The sequence below is a fragment of the Homo sapiens genome, chromosome 8, assembly GCF_000001405.40.
Source record: "Homo sapiens chromosome 8, GRCh38.p14 Primary Assembly".
NCBI classification, from domain to species: Eukaryota; Metazoa; Chordata; class Mammalia; order Primates; family Hominidae; genus Homo; species Homo sapiens.
This window is the reverse complement of record NC_000008.11, coordinates 74,635,590-74,652,441: the sequence shown is the minus strand read 5'-3', so window position 1 is coordinate 74,652,441 and position 16,852 is coordinate 74,635,590. Positions and strand designations below refer to the sequence as shown.

Here is a 16,852-nt window from a genome sequence, read left to right as displayed (position 1 = left end):
AAGGGATTTGGTCCACATGGTCTTCACTCCAGAGCCTAGACTGATACAGGCTCCCTTTTAAAAATGTGTTTTCATCACTGCAGAAGTGAGAAAAAGAGAGTATCACTGGCTCCAACCAGAAATATTATGTGTCACGTCCACTTATATTTCACTGGCCAGAGTAAGTCATATGGCCACATTCAAACCTAACAGTGCAAAAGGCAGTGTGCTCCCACAGGCAGGACTATCAAATACTTTGAGTAAGACAGCCTTAAATACTGACAATCCAGTGCAGGAGACAGTCTGTAATGTGAAATATTTTAGCAACTAATCAGAGATGACACTGAGGCTATAGCCTATGTTGATATAACTCTTGCTGGAGCCTTTCAGGGGTTCCAGTAAATACCAGCCTGTTCCTCAAATGGGTTCTAAGTCGACTGAGAAATAAGGCGAGACAGTCAGCAATTGAAACCAAAATATCACCATCATTGCCAGTGAATGCCAGAGAGAAGACACAGTTCAGTACAAAAGCCTAGATAGGCTTGCTACCTTTCTTCCCTCTTATTAAACCCTGAAATAGCCACCTAAAAGAAAGTTTGAGTCCACACTTTGATTTCACATACCAAGGTCTGTGCTTCTCGCTGGTTCAGAAAGAGCAGAGTGACCAGACTCAGACCCTGTGTATTTTCACTTCAACTAATTAAGAAATGTGGGCCACTAACAAATGCCTACCAGCAAAGTAGTTTACTCTGTGTTCTTGCAGAGGATAAAAAGGAAGTTCTCTGGCCAAGAATACTAAGCTCCTTTCACATGGAAGAAAAAAATCAGGACTGGGGAGAAATAATTTCTCCATACCATACACCAACTTGAATTACTAAATTTTTGTTTTTTGTTTTTTGTCTTCTCCACTAAATTGTAGACTCCTTGTAGAACTGCATTTTCCATAGTTTTAAGATTCTTTAATAAAAAGCAAGAAAATATGTTATAAATGTTATACTATTTTATTACAAACAAAAACACTCCAAAATCATATATTCATACTCAGTGATAATAGCTACTTTTACTCACAGAAGAATTTCATACAGACTTCTAACCATTACCTGTCAAACACATTCATTCACCTTGCAATATAGTGGAACTCCAAAGAGAAATAAATATTCTTAAAGAGAATAGAGGTTTTTGACAATATTCAAAAATTGTCAATAATTTGACAACTTACAATATAACAGACATCATTAAAATAATCATCATTAAAAACAACCAGTTCCCAACGGCTATGGTGGCCTTATGTAACACAGAATTGAAAGCATGCTAAGGAAAAAAAAATGAGAAAAAAAAAAGAATTTATTACTAACTCACTCCAATCACAAAAAGGAAAGAAACAAACGTATACACAGATGATTTCCAAGTCTATTAACCAGAAAGGAAACAAAAGCATTTTTATCCAAGATATGAGAGATGACACAGAGTGCAATAAAATAGATTTATGATGGAAGCCATTAAAATGGCAGTATTTGAATTATCAAACTGAAACCAACACACTTTAATATTTCACTTTATGAAAAGAAAAATATTTCAGTTCAATAAAACCAGGGCTTATGCATTCCGAGTCCATGCTGGTGGCTGACCAGACTGAGAGCCTGAAATAAAATGCACCTTCATTTTGTCTTTTAGTAGAGAAATATTTTCAGTCACATGTTAACCTGTGACTTAAAACTTCACTAAAAACCCACTGGAATGACCAAAATTCACCAACAGGTACTATTGATGAGGGCATGGAACTACTGGAACTTTCATGCATTTCTGGTGGAGTGTAAAATCATCCAGCCACTTGGAGGACAGGTTGGTGGTGTGCCTACCACACCATACTCATCTATCGCACCACACAGAAATTCCATTCCTAAGTTTTCACCCCAGAGACATGAAAAAATATGTCCACAAAAACATTCATATGAGAATGGCCATAGCAGCATTATTCAAGATAGCTAAACACTGAAAATAAAAACATTAAATTTACATCAACTAATGAATGGATAAAATGATTGTGGTATATCTATACTATTGGAATACTATCTCCCTATAAAAATGAAATGAACAAACTATTGATACACACAACATGAGTGAACCTCAAAAAACCTTACGTTAAGTGAAAAAAGTCAAACACAAAAGACTACATACTGTATAATTTTATTTATACGAAATTCCAGAAAAGGCAAACAACATTGAGGAGGAGACAGACTGAAAGGGGTGATGAAATTGTCTGCCTTTACATATCCTGATTGTGGTGGTAGTTATACAGTTGCATACAATTGCAAAAGTTCATCAGACTGTATGCTTATATTATTGTGTGTAAGTTATATCTTAACAAATCTGGGAGGAAATTTCACTAATAAATATAAAACCACAGATTTAACTGAAGAAATGCTTTAAAATCATAAATGAAATTAATTGCAAGGTTTAGCATTAAATCATACTAAAAATTTCAAATCATATTTCAAATATACACACTCAGTAGAAGGACACTTTATAGGAATAATAAAAGCAAGCATAATGAAGGTTAGAGCCAAATGTTGGTGACTATCTGGACATTTATATAGATGTAGAGTTCTTTGAAAAAAAATATAAAATATTACATAAATATTGCCAGAACCCAACAACCACCTGAACTTAAATATTACTTTTCCATGATGTTCAAACATGCACTTCTCTAAACTCTTCAAACTACCCATGAGAAACATATAGTGAGTAATTCACAGTGACACTAAATAGGTAAAAGTGTAGATTTTTTACACATAGGCATTTTGTAAACACAAAATATTTAAAAATGAATTGTAAAAGATATTTTGAAAACCAAATGCATAAAATTAAAGTATTTGTGATATAATCAGAGTGCCTAAGAACAATAAACTTTTATATGTGCATATATATATATGTAGGTATATATGTAAATATATTCATATTCACATTCATGTTTGAAAGACCATGATCAACACGTTTTTATCTCATACCCCTCAGATTTCCTTTTTAGAACTGTCTTCCTCTCTATTCTATTTAATTTTTAAATTGCATGATCAACTCTGAGCATTATTTTTTAAACTATTTTAATAGCACTAAATCACACACACAAAAATGCAAAACCGAAGGAACTGACAAGAAAAAAATGTATCCAAGGCGTCATTTTCATAAAATATTTCAGACCACATACTCACAACTCTATAAAGTGGTTCAAGACACCTGCATCTGTGTCTCTCATGAGATTTATTTATTTATTTCTTCTCTTTCTTAAAAGTCCGTATCAATCATATTATCAACATTATCTTTTAAATTACCAAAAATCGAGCTAAGCCACAAACATCAGTTTACTACCCTGTGTCTCCTATTCTAATTTTTTTTTTTGCCTCTGTCTCTGACTTCTGTCTCCTATTCATATGGGTGCTCAGTGACCTCTCTTTGCTAGACAATTTCAGAGATCCAGATGTCCCCACTATAGTGTGCCAGTGTGTGTCCTTTCTTTCCTAAGAGGCCAAGGAAAATTGAATGTTCATGAAAACAGGTCATAGAAAGAAAGGCATAATCAAATCTTCATGTTGACACAGTGATTGTTTTCCTTATATTATCTTTTTTAAACACTTAGATATGATCTATCAGGCACATAGAGACGATTCAAAAGTATTGTCTTCCTTGCAGTATTCCTTAGTTCACTTACCCAATGAAATATAAGAAAATAATACGTATCGGGGGAACCAGCCCCCAATATTTCAATGTAGGTTCTTTCTATTTTCCCTAAGTGTCGGCCAGTCTGAGATATAAAGAGAAAGAGTACAAAGAGAGAAATTTTACAGCTGGGCCTCCGGGGGTGTCATCACATATTGGTAGGACCGTGATGGCGACCTTGAGCTGCAAAACCAGCAAGTTTTTGCTGGGGAGTGGGTGTACGAACAGGGAGTAAGTCACAAAGATCACATGCTTCAAGGGGCAATAAAAGATCACAAGACAAAGGCAAAATTAGAATTACTGATGAGGGTCCATGTCCTGCTGTGCACACATTGTCATGATAAACATCTTAACAGGAAACAGAGTTCGAGAGCAGACAACCATTCTGACTAGAATTCACCAGGCTGGAATTTCCCAACCCTAGTAAGCTGAGGGTACTGCAGGAGACCAGGGCATATTTCAGTCCTTATCTCAACCACAGAAGACAGACACTCCCAGAGCAGCCATTCATAGACCTCCCCCCAGGAATGCATTCCTTACCCAGGGTATCAATTATTAATATTCCTTGCTGGGAAAAGAATTCAGTGATATTTCTCCTACTCACATATCTGTCTATAGCTTTCTGGGAGAAGAAAAATATGGCTCTATTCTGCCCAAACCTGAAGGCAGTCAGACATTATGGTTATCTTTCCTTATTCCCTGAAAATCATTGTTATTCTGTTCTTTTTTAGGGTGCACTGATTTCATATTGTTCAAACACACATATTTTACAATCAATTTGTACAATAGTGGTCTTGAGGTGACATACATTCTCAGCTTGCAAAGATAACAGGATTAAGAGATTAAAGTAAAGACAAGCATAAGAAATTATAAGAATATTGATTGGGGAAGTGATAAATGTCCCTGAAATATTCACAATTTATGTTCAGAGATTGCAGTAAAGACAGGCATAAGGAATTATAAAAGTATTAATTTTGGGAACTGATAAATGTCCATGAAATCTTCACAATTCATGTTCTTCTGCCACAGCTTCAGCCGGTCCCTCCATTCTGGGTCCCTGACTTCCCGCAACAAATAAGAAACAAATAATAGTCCAAATGCTTCAGGTTGCTAACTTAGAATTCTAAAAGGCTATATGATTTCCAATTTCAGTTTTTCAGTTCTAAACAATGTGTTCTTAGGACTAAATGCTTAAAACATTTTTTCAATAAATCTGAATGAAAAAACTTATAAGAGAGAAATGTTTTCCAGAAACTTACAGCTTGGTTTTTCCATTTTTTATTTGTTTATTGCCAAGAAGGAGCTAATTGCAATGCTTTGCATTTGTGTAACATATTATAGTTTGTAATACATCACTTATTTGAGCCTCAAACCACCTTGTAAGAAGAGCCATTTCGTCATCTCCATTTCACAGTTAAAGCAACTGGAGACTGAACCAGAGTCAAATATTGGAAAGCAACATAGCTTTTGCCTAAAACCTGGGTGTTTCTGTCCTCTTGTCCTGCAACCTCTCTGTAATGCCATATCACCTCTTTGCTGAAATACCATGTGTGTATATGTAAGAGACAGAAAGGCCATATATTGCATATATATGCATATATGCAGAAAGGCCTAAGACTAACAGGTTCCTTCAAACTCCATTTAAGGTGAAAATTTGTGAATAAGGTTAGGTGAACTTTTGTGCCTCCTGCACACAGACTGATAAGACACCTGGGTACTGGCCCAAATAGCTGGTAGAATTCTGAGGTCCACCACTATTGATTTATATGATTTGATTATGATCTATTTATTGATAATATTTATTTATTTATTTATTTATTTGAGACAGGGTTTCACTCTGTTACCCAGACTGAAGTTCAGTGGCTTGACCAAAGCTCACTACAGCCTGTACCTCCCAGGCTCAAGCAATTCTCCCACCTCAGCCTCCTGGGGAGCTGGGGATTCAGGAATGTACCAGCACACCCAGATAATTTTTTTAATTTTCATATAGAAAGGGTCTTACAGGGTTGCCAGGTCTGATATCGAACTCCTAGGCTCAAGTGATCTATCCATCTGCTTTGACTCCCCTAAGTATTGGGATTACAGGCATTAGCCACTTTGCCTGGGGCTCATAGTAATTTTTAAATATCCAGTGTTATATGTGAATGCCCACCAGTCTATAAAACATATCTTTTTGTTTCTCCCACAGCTAACTTGAATTACCATGTCCTAAACTGAACTCATCATCTCCTCACTGTCACACCCTGCATTTGCTCTCTCTGTCAATGTCACTACTATCCAGTCAGTTTCCCAAACCATAAAGCTGAGCATCATTCCCAAGAATACCTTCTCCTTCACTGCTTACATCAAATCAAACACCAGTATGGATTATAACTCCTGTGTCTTAAAACTTTCCTGTTTTCTCTACTTTCATATTTAGGTGGCCATCATTTCTTCACCAAGCCACTCTTCACACTGCAGCCAGAGAACTCTTATAAAGACTTGAATGAAAGTCTCTTACTTCCTCTAGGAAGTCTTCCCTGGATCCCCATTCCTGGGTGAGGTGCCCTCTTCTGTGAATGGAGAAGAGACATTCTGTACTTCCCTTATCATGGTATTAATCACACTGTATTTTAGGCACTACTTACCTGTTTGTATTCCCACTAGACTCAGTTGCAGAGGGGCAAAGACCCTGCCACTCTTAATAGCTTTTGTATCCCCAGTGATTAGCACAAAGCTTTGCAAATAAGTAGGTGCTCATTAAATATTTGTTGACTATAAACAAATAAATACATAGTTTCCTAATAGGGGTCATTGATGAAAAAAATATCAGGAGGTAGTAAAAACCAGGACCTACTCCACAAAAAACATAGGCTTAGGTTGTAAAAATCATTCAAGATTAAAAGGACGATTTTCTCAGGCAAATCAGATAGAGGAAGCTGACCATTAGATGGCACAGTTTGGTAACAGATAAATTTGAGAGATACATGTTGCCCTGACATCAAGCAGTAGACATGGGTCTGATTAATGGAATAGCTCCATGGCTTTGCTCTTTCTAGATAATTCTGCTACCAGTAAACCCGTTTGGGCTTTAAGTTTCAAGTCAATTCATAAGCATTAGCAGTCACTATGTTCCAGGTGAGATCAGATCTCATTAGTAATCAGATCTCAGATTTAATCTTCTAGGCCGGGCGCAGTGGCTCGCGCCGGTAATCCCAGTACTTTGGGAGGCCAAAGCAGGCAGATCACCTGAGGTTGGGAGTTCGTGACCAGCCTGACCAACATAGAGAAACCCCATCTCTACTAAAAATACAAAATTAGCTGGGTGTGGTGGCACATGCCTGTAGTCCCAGCTACTCATGAGGCTGAGGCAGGAGAATTGCTTGAACCTGGGAGGCGGAGGTTGTGGTGAGCCAAGATCGTGCCATTGCACTCCAGCCTAGGCAACAAGAGCAAAACTCCGTCTCAAAAAAAAAAAAAAGAAAGAAAAGATTTAATCTTCTATGAACTCGATGGTGCTTCCTTGACTGGAATTCACTTTTTTATTTACCAAGGTCACCTTTTTCCCCAACTTTGAAACTAAGTTTATGACTATACTTTGATATCTTGAGTGGTAATCCATCTAAATTTTCCACCCCATAGTACATTTCTTCTTACTTAGCTAAACAATATAAAAATGTGCTGAAAATGCAAGTCTAGATGCTACTGGAAAAAAAACTTCTCATAAATAACTCTTCAGGAGAATCAATTCCAACTTGTTACTTCTATAAATAAAGCATCTAAAATGAAGGGACAGGGCTCCAAGACAAGTGGTTGGTTTCTTTTGGTTTGTTAGTTTGCTTTTGTTTTTTATTTTTTATTTTATTTTATTTTATTTTTGAGCCAGGGTCTTGTTCTCTTGCCCAGGCTAGAGTGGAGTGGCATGATTATAGCTCACTGCAGCCTCAACCTCCTGGGCTCAAATGATACTCCAACCTCAGCCACCCAAGTAGCTGGGACCACAGGCATGCACCACCATGCCCGGCTAATTTATTTATTTATTGTAGAGACAGGGTTTTGCCATGTTTCCCAGGCTGGTCTTGAACTCCTGAGCTCAAGTAATTCACCTGCCTCAGCCCCCCAAAGTGCTAGGATTGTAGGCGTGAGCCACTGTGCCCGGTGACAAGTGGTTTTTCTACAGGGCACCTATGTTTCACAAAAGGAAAAAAAAACTCACTACAATCATGCACCACTTAACGAAACGGATATTTTCTGAGAAATGCATTGATAGGTGATTTTGTCATTGTGCGAACATCATAGAGTGTACTTCCACAAACCTAGATGGTGTAACCTGCTACACACTGAGGCTAGATGGTGTAGCCTATTGCTCTCAGGCCACAAACCTGTACAGCATGTTACTATACTAATACTGTAGGCAATTGTAACACAGTGGTAAGTATCTGTGTATCCAAACATGTCTAAATATTGAAAAAGTACAGCAAAAATACGGTATTATAATCTTACAGGACCACTGTCGCGTATGTTATTGACATTATTGACTGAAACGTCATTATGTGGCTCATGACTATATTTTGTTCTTCCTAAAAATGCACAATGTGACATATGGAGGGGAAAGTAGAGAGAAAAGACACTGAGGAGGAATAAAGTGCCAGCTCATGGCCTTTTACATCTCATACTAGTGAGTTCGGACTTCACTGACTGGGCAATATGTAATCATAAGAAATATTTATGCAGGAAAACAACAAAGGAGAATTACATCTCAGGGGATGTTAAGCACTGAGGATACAAAAGTAAGAAAGAAGCTTACCACCAAGCAATCCCCAGAATGATCTAGTTCTGTGATAAAAGTCTGTTCTAATGAAAGTGTTTTCCTTATAGAAAGAATTTAAAAGGGCTTTTCTGTTATTTTTTCTTGTTGTTAACTAAAAGAGGCCATTTAAATGATAAAAAGAGTGGTGAATGTCTGTTTGCTCAACTGTATTATATATTGCTTATTAGCATTAGGGAAGGGTAGGAATTTAAGAGAGCTGTCCGTACAAGGGAAACTTTGCTACTTATCTCTAAAGTTTAAAAAAAATGCTTCTAATATTTTTTAATTTTTCTTCTAGATGGCATTATCTCATTATCTCAACTTAGATTTACTGGGATTATAGTAAATAAACAGTGATGCTTAGAATAATTTGATACTTCTTTCTTTACTAGAGAATAAAACATTTTGGGACTGCAGGCATTTTGTTAGCTGACAGACTTAGAGAAAGGGCTGAAAGGTAAAACCACGAGAACGAAAATATACCTCCGGACTTCTGGAAACACCAGCAAAAACAAATTCATCTTTTCCCTTACCAATCCTTTTTTTACTCTGCCTCCTGGAATTGTTAATTCTTTCAAATTTCTGGTCTTTAAAGAATTTTTTTTTTAATTCTACTGAGGTTCAAATTGCTAAGTACATGTGAAGAAGTCCAAGAAACCACATTTACTACCATGCTTAAGAAAGAAATTACGGAATTCTGAATCAGTTGTTCAGGGCAGAGCTGGTAGTAAAAACCATTACTGAATGCACAAGAATAATTCGCCTTTTGAAGGCAACCAGGTTGGGAGTGAGCAGATTATTGGATATTCCTACCTGTGGATTCTTTTTGCCCAAGCACTGCTCTGACAAAATTTAGAATGCTCCCAGAGAGACAGCAGACATATGTGTCTATCTGAAAATGTGTAAGGTAACTCATACGAATGTAATTTTGCCAATTGTTGGAGGGAATGGAAGTGCAGAAGGAAGGTGAATGTGACCTGCCATGCATGGGAATCTGGCTAGGTGTATTCAAAACTATTTCTACCTGTCTGATAAAACTATCCAGTGCTGGTAGCTGGAAATGAAAAGCACAATTAGAATTTGAGGAACAAATGCTACCCATGCTGGACACGCAATGAAACCCAAGTAGATGATGGGAACCATGCTATTTGATGTGAGCATCAGGTTGTTTAACCTGTACAATTTCAGAGACACACTATGGAACACACAAAGGGTATGCATTTTTAATAAGTCGATAGTCATCTAGTTAAATGAACTGGATTCACAAATAAGCTTGAAAGACACAATAACTAATTCTTGGTGGTACTGCCTTCTAAAGACTCTGCTGCTTGTATTCAACTGCAATTTCCCAACAGTTAGCAAATATATAAAATGTCACTGATATGTTTTTAAATTTTGTTGCAACCTTAAAATCATTAACAGTAATCTCAAATATACCAACTTCTTAAGTCAGTACTGCTGAGACTATCCTTATCAGAGTTGTTGGGAAGCAGCTGTTTGGTTCACTGTTTCTTCTTTAGCATCTACAACAATTCCTGGCACTCAGTACTCAACAAATAATTTGTTCCATGAAATGCCCAAGAGTTAGTATATGTCCCAATAGGTTAATTACACATATAAAGCAAGCTTCCTATAATCTTCCTAAAGTTCTTCAGAACTTAAAAATGACATCTTCTTGAAGTATCCCAATCCTTGGAAACCGCGCACATTAACCACTGTGATCTAAAACTAGCATGACAAATTTGAACTGTGGAATTAGAAAAAAAATAGCATGCAAATTCCAACAGCAACTTACCAATTTGCAATCCTGAGCAAGTTTAATGACCTTCAGAGCCTTCATATTTAAAATGGAGGTAATAAAACCTCCCATATAAATGGGAGGATTAAATAATATAATATGAATAGAACATCTGAAAGGTTCTAAGTACATAGTACACCACCAGTCACCCACACCACCACCACTGCTACGTTTTCTGCCCCTGTACTGCCTCACCAGCAGCACTCAATGCCTTCTGGGCCCAGGCATCTGCACAAGGCCCCCATCTTCCTCCCCTGGGCTGAGACAATATATCCCACCATTGAGCATACCCAAAACATGCCTGTGTTCACCCTCTAAATATTATTAATGTACATTTGACTTAAAAGCATACTTTAAATAGTTGGATATAACCTACAAGTATCTTATTTTTCTATTACAATCTGTTTGGAAGGGATGAGGATAAACAGGTTCATGTATATTGATGCGGAATTATTCAAACACAAATGTATTACATCAGCTTGTCTTTTGCTTACCAAAAAAAACCCCATGAAATGTTTTCTCAACTTTTGTACTTAAGCATAATACTAAAAAAAAAATGGACCACAATCTATTCTATTTTTCTCTAATCAGTCACATTAATAATACAGGTAATATTCAAAAAGCAAATATATGAATGCAATTTTTGTAGTTCATTATAGAGAAAATAACTCATATAAGAAGAAAAAAATGAGCTTCTTTTTTTTCTTAACCAAAGCAAATGGAAGATCTACTGGACATTTCAGTTCAAAATAACCAAGCAATGATGACTTGAAAGTAGTTTTGCTTTTATCTCTTTAACAGGTTGTCCTGCTAGGCTTGGATTCACCAGATAATTATACAACTCATCACATATTTTTGGCTATATGTACATGGCCGCAAATGCACCCAGGATAAATATGAAGAGCTTTTAGGACCCAATAAAGAAAATAAAATCTCTAAGAAATTGGCATTTGGAATATAGAGTTCTTTATCTGACAGAATAATAGGAAGGCTGTTTCATTTTCAATAATTAATGAATGTAAATGTCCTAGCAATTTCTTATACAGACTATCTTCACGATAAACACAATTTTGTAATTATCGTACTCACCCTTTGCATTTCATTTATACTTAACACCATTAAAAAGTACCCATCTTAATATTGTTGGCCACTAAAATGTCTGTGACCTAAGCAAAATTACAGTTCACTCCAAGAACACAATGGCTGTGCTCTAAGTCTTTTGGCAAAGGCCAGGATTTTAATGACCTTAAACAAGCAGGGCAGGCAGTCACATTCTCTGAGAACTCCAGAGCTTTCGTACAGTTTATTCTTGTTGAAGTAAGCTAAGGCAAAAGCTTTGGCAGCAATCTGAAAATAGGGGCAAAGGGTTTCAAGTGGTTGTTTTTCTGGATGTAACTCTGGCTGAATTAAAAAGGACGATGTTTATGGAAAGCTTTCCTGGGATACTGTTAGATCTCTTTCCCTGGATGGGGTACAAAGGAAGGAAACCTCAGCTGGCATTTATTTTCCCTAATTTGTACCTGAGTCCTTATAAGAACATAAAGAGCAAGTGGATGCATGTTTGAGATAGAGTATAACCTCTTCCAGAAAGCTGATGACCTACCTGCCTCTTTCTCTTTGAATTGCTTTCAGAACTTAAAACGGAGGCCAGGGAGAGCATCAGCGCCCACTCTTTTTTTTTTTTTTTTTTTTTTGAGACGGAGTCTTGCCCTGTCCAGGCTGGAGTGCAGTGGTGCAATTTCGACTCACTGCAACCTCTGCTTCCTGGGTTCAAGTGATTCTTCTGCCTCAGCCTCCCGAGTAGCTGGGACTACAGGCAAGCACCACCACGCCCAGCTAATTTTTGTATTTTTTTTTTAGTAGAGACGGGGTTTCACCATATTGGCCAGGATAGTTTTAATCTCCTGACCTCATGATCCACCTGATCCACCTGCCTTGGCCTCCCAAAGTGCTAGGATTACAAGTGTGAGCTACTGTGTCCAGCCTCAGTGTCTACCCTTATTTCCGCATTGAGAGAAGCTCCATGTTGAGAAGGGAATAATTAATTTAAATGCTCTTGCTTTCAAACTATGGATTAAAGAAGTGAAAGTAAGATAGAACCTAAGTGATCAAACATTAATAAAGGCATTAAAGGAGCTGTTGGTGACATCTGAAACCATGATGGGACTGTGACAAGCAAAACCCACGTAAGTACCACCATGGCTCAAGTGGCTCTCATTCAAAGTGTTACTGGAAAAAGGGAATACCAGTGTGTAACGATGTCATTCCACTTGCAGACTAGTTCAATGGATACAAATGTCCACATCAGCTCTATTATTGCTTACTGGGGACTTTGATAAAAAAAAAAGTATGTTTAATGAAAGTTGTGAAGATAATGAAATAATAATGCCATGACACAACCTAGAATTTGTCAAAAATACTAAAATGTCCAATAGGAACATAATTGAAATCACTTTTTCAACAGAGAAAAAATAAAATGTGAAAGAAAATATGCAAGAACATTTTTAACAGGAGTTTCATATATATCATGGGCTAAGCAATGAGGATAAAACAATTTACAGAAATGAAACACAATTCCTGCCTTCCCAGAGCCCTGGACTACATTATTAGGTTGGGTGTCTTAAAATTCTGCAAAGATAAATAATAACTCTATGTGACCAGTTGTGCGATCCTCATAATTTGAGCTATTATCTTCCCATTCAAGGCAGAGTTTCTGTACCTAAAAAACTTTCTGGATTATTAGGATATGTATGCCCAAATGATGAAAGGAAAGGTAGCCTGTTACAAAGATCATATAAGGTGTATAAAATGACAGATGAACATAAAAGTGAGAATGTGTCTCTGAATGGAGGATCAAAAAGATTTTTATAAAGCAGATTCAACTTTAACTAAATCTTAAAATGTGGATGGAATTCTACAGAGGAATTGAAAATATAATATAAACATGGGCTGAAAGGCAGGAGAAAGAAAGAGTTTTAACATTGACCAAGATCACCCATGACAAATCAAGCCCTCAAAAGAACAGACACTTTTCAAATGTGGATCTCAAGGCTACTCAAACCTATTTACCCATAGAAATACTTTTCCTTCTTGAAATACTCTCTTCCTTTGTTTTCTAAGGACTCAGTCTCTCCGAATTTTCCTCTTGCTATTGGTAGCTCATTCCCAAGCCACTTTATAGGCTTTGTTTGTTTGTTTTTGCTCATGACCTAATGTTCATATTCTCCAGGACTCAGTCCTCAGCCTTTCAACCTTCTCACTCTACATACTCCCCCAAAACAATCACATATATTTCCATGGCTTTCGATTTCATCCGTATCCTGATGATGCCCAGATTAATAAATTCCCCACTTAGTTCGCCACTTAGTTCTGAACATATATCCCTCACTCCCACTCTACATCTTTATTTAGGTATTCCAAGAGACCATCAAGCACGTGTCCAAATGTGAAGTTATCTTCTTCCCCTCAGAGACAGTGTTTCTCATTGCTTCCCCAGCTTAATAAATAATACCTGCCCAAACCTGAAATATTGGTGTCATCACTGACTTCTTTGTCTCCTGTATCCACACTACTCCCCAAAATCCTCCTATGTGAAATTATCTACTCTCCATTTCTACTGCCACCACTGTCATACAAAACATCAGCATATTTCACCTGAGCAATTGCAAGAGCTGATCTCTCACCTCTAGTTTCATCCCCTTCAAGTCATCCTCCATCCTGCAGCCTGTATGATAGTGTCAAAATGTAAAGTTGTTTATGTAAGTTCCCTGCTTAAAACCCTTCATTGGTTTTCATTACCCTCAGCATGTTTATGTTGATTACACAGTGTACAAAGCCTTCTGCAACTGGCCCCTTCTAGCTCTCATTTCTCTCTCATACTTTTATATCAAATAATATTGAATTTGTCACAATTATTTGAAGATTTGAAGGCTCCACACTTTCTCATTAGCCTAGGATACTTCATTTTGTGTGTGCTGTTCTCTCTCTATCTCTCCCCAACTTCCATCAACCATCCCTCTGATAACTCCCTTTATTTTTCAGGAGCTCAAACATCACTTCTTCAGGAATGTGTACACTGATTCCCATTGTAAGTAATATCCCTATAATTTTTTGTTCTTTTATAATACTCATCACAATTTATTGCATTTACTTGTAAATATCTATCAATGCCATGAGAATATGAGCTCCTTTAAAGCAGGTTCCACATCTGCTGGGTTCAAAACTATATCCCTAGAGTCAAACACATATTCTGGCACATAGAAGGCATTCCATGAATTTATTTTTCAATTAATAAAAGGTAAATATTCCACTTAGATGGTAAAGTAGAGCATTGAAGGGAAATACAGTAAGCGATAGGCTAGAAAGATAAGTTGGAACCAAATCATAAAGGACTATTCATGCCATACCCAAAAATGTAGACCTTATCTGTAAACATGAGGTCCCACTTACAAAGCAACTACATTCTAAGGAGGGAGGAGAGTAGGGGAGATTTGAAGAAGCTTGCTAGAAGAATCTTAGAAAGCTTATGTATGTTTTTCAGAGTGATACTCATGAAAGTTCTCCAAAGTGTGCTATTTATATTTCCTTTAAAAACTCCACGTTATAAAGTTAAAACATGGCTTAAGGACAAAAATTCTCTGTTAAAATTGGCTGTGTTTTTCTGAAGATAAAACTGATTTGTGAGCAAGCAATATGGCAACTTTGACCAGGATCGTGTGTGTGTGTGTGTGCACGCACATGTGTGTGTTTGAGTGTTTGTTTTATTTAATTTTCACCCCCCATCTCTCACAAAATTCCTGAATGTGTTTGCATGTGTATCCTGGAAGAAATAAGCTAATTAAGCTGGCTCCCTTTTCAGTCCTATCTCCAACCTCTTTTCCATGTACACCCTAAGTCCCAGCCACTTGGGTCTACGGAGCCCATGGATTCTGACATGTAGTCCTTCCATCTGGAAAATCTTCCATGCCTGCTCAGATCCTTCACATCTTCCTAGACCCAGTTTAATAAGTTTCCTCTTCTATGAAACCTTTCTGAATTTCTCCTACTCTCCACAAAATGAATCCTTTCTTCCTTTCTATTCTCAATGAAATATGTGTATCACTGTATTCAGATTGCCTTATATTTGCTTTTGATGTGCCTAATGACCCCATTATATTATGAGTTCTTTATTAAAGATAATCCCAAAGAGCCCTGCCACCCAAAGTGTGGTCCCTCTACCAACATAGCTGTGAGCATATTAGAAATGCAGACCTTCAGGTCCCAACCCAGACTTCAGAATCTGCATCATAATATACCTCCAGTTCATTTTTATCACAATAAATTCTGAAAAGTGGTGCCATAGAGTATCTAGCATGTTAACACATAAAAGGTATTTTGTATAGGCTTGCTTGATGGATGGAAAGGGCATGAAAAATCAGGGAGAGGCATTTAATGTGCTGCTCTCAGTGTGCCAATGTGGTCTGGGAATTTATCTCAGGGTATACGATAGGTAGCATGGACAATATATTAAATTTATGGACCACAAAACACCACTAAGAGCCATAAAATGGTGAAAGACACTGATGAAAACCCAGAGTTTTTGGCAGAGAATATCATAAAGTATTCTGAAATTTGAAGATCTTTTTAAAAATCACTCTAACTTGACCTATCTTGGATTCGCGCTTTGAGCTATTACACTGCATTCAAATATTTGTTTTCATTCCTGCATATTTTCTTCTCCCTCTCCTTCCTGCATAAATTTATATATGGAACTTAGTTAACTCAGACTGCCAGCTGGTAAAACTGTTTTCCGAGAAAAAATGTAAAAGCATCCTAAATTCAAGGACAAAAATTTGCAGAATTGGTGGATTATTGGAGCACCACACAGTGATAAATACATTAAAGGCTATCATCCCAGCAGGACTTGGAACAAGGTAAAGTCTACAGAAAGGTAAGTAAAGAACAGGTCAACTTCTGAACCTTCTGGATCCCCCTCTAGAAGAAACAAAATGAAATTACTCCAATTATTTTCGGACACTGAGGCCAAGCGTGGCTTACTAAGTTCTAAAATGGTGTCTCACCCCTCATGGAAAGAAAAAAGAACTGAAATAGAGGCAACTGAGGACATCTTGGAGGACAAGACATGAGCCAGGAAGGGGGCCTGACACAGAAACAGAGATAAGGAAAGAAATGATGAGTTTGTTTGCTCTTTCTGTGAAAGTTTTAATTCCCACATTTCCATTACTTAATATGTCATTATTTTACTTTTCAGAAATTGGCAAACCAAAAGCATTCCACCATTTATTTTAAAACTTGTAGTCAACACACATCAGACTTTTATATTGCCTCAAATAAAAATTCTCTAAAGAATCAAATCTAAAGCTGTGCTATAAATTTCCCTGGGGAAGTTAATCCTAAAGTTCTTAGACATCAATATATGCTCCTGACCAAAGGTTGGATTTCAGAGGTCATGATGACATAGATTGATAAAATCCTGCTGCGTAATCCAGCCACGAATTACGTGTTGACATTGATAAGCAACATTTTTCATTGCCTATTAAATAAAGGTCAAATTCTTCAGCCTGGCATTAAAG

General features: G+C 37.1%; 1 long non-coding RNA gene across 2 annotated transcripts in view, besides 1 other annotated feature; it reads right to left on the bottom strand.

Moving 5' to 3' along the window:
• MIR2052HG (MIR2052 host gene) overlaps positions 1-16,852 on the bottom strand; it is a 158,596-nt gene that overhangs the window by 105,911 nt on the left and 35,833 nt on the right. The gene's annotated exons all lie outside the window — the stretch shown is intronic.
• Positions 3,764-4,351: an enhancer, noted in NCBI's record as "OCT4-NANOG hESC enhancer chr8:75560326-75560913 (GRCh37/hg19 assembly coordinates)". NCBI's record gives its function as "activates a minimal SCP1, AML or CMV promoter by ChIP-STARR-seq in primed H9 embryonic stem cells {active_cell/tissue: H9 hESC(primed)}" and the evidence as "EXISTENCE:reporter gene assay evidence [ECO:0000049][PMID:30033119]".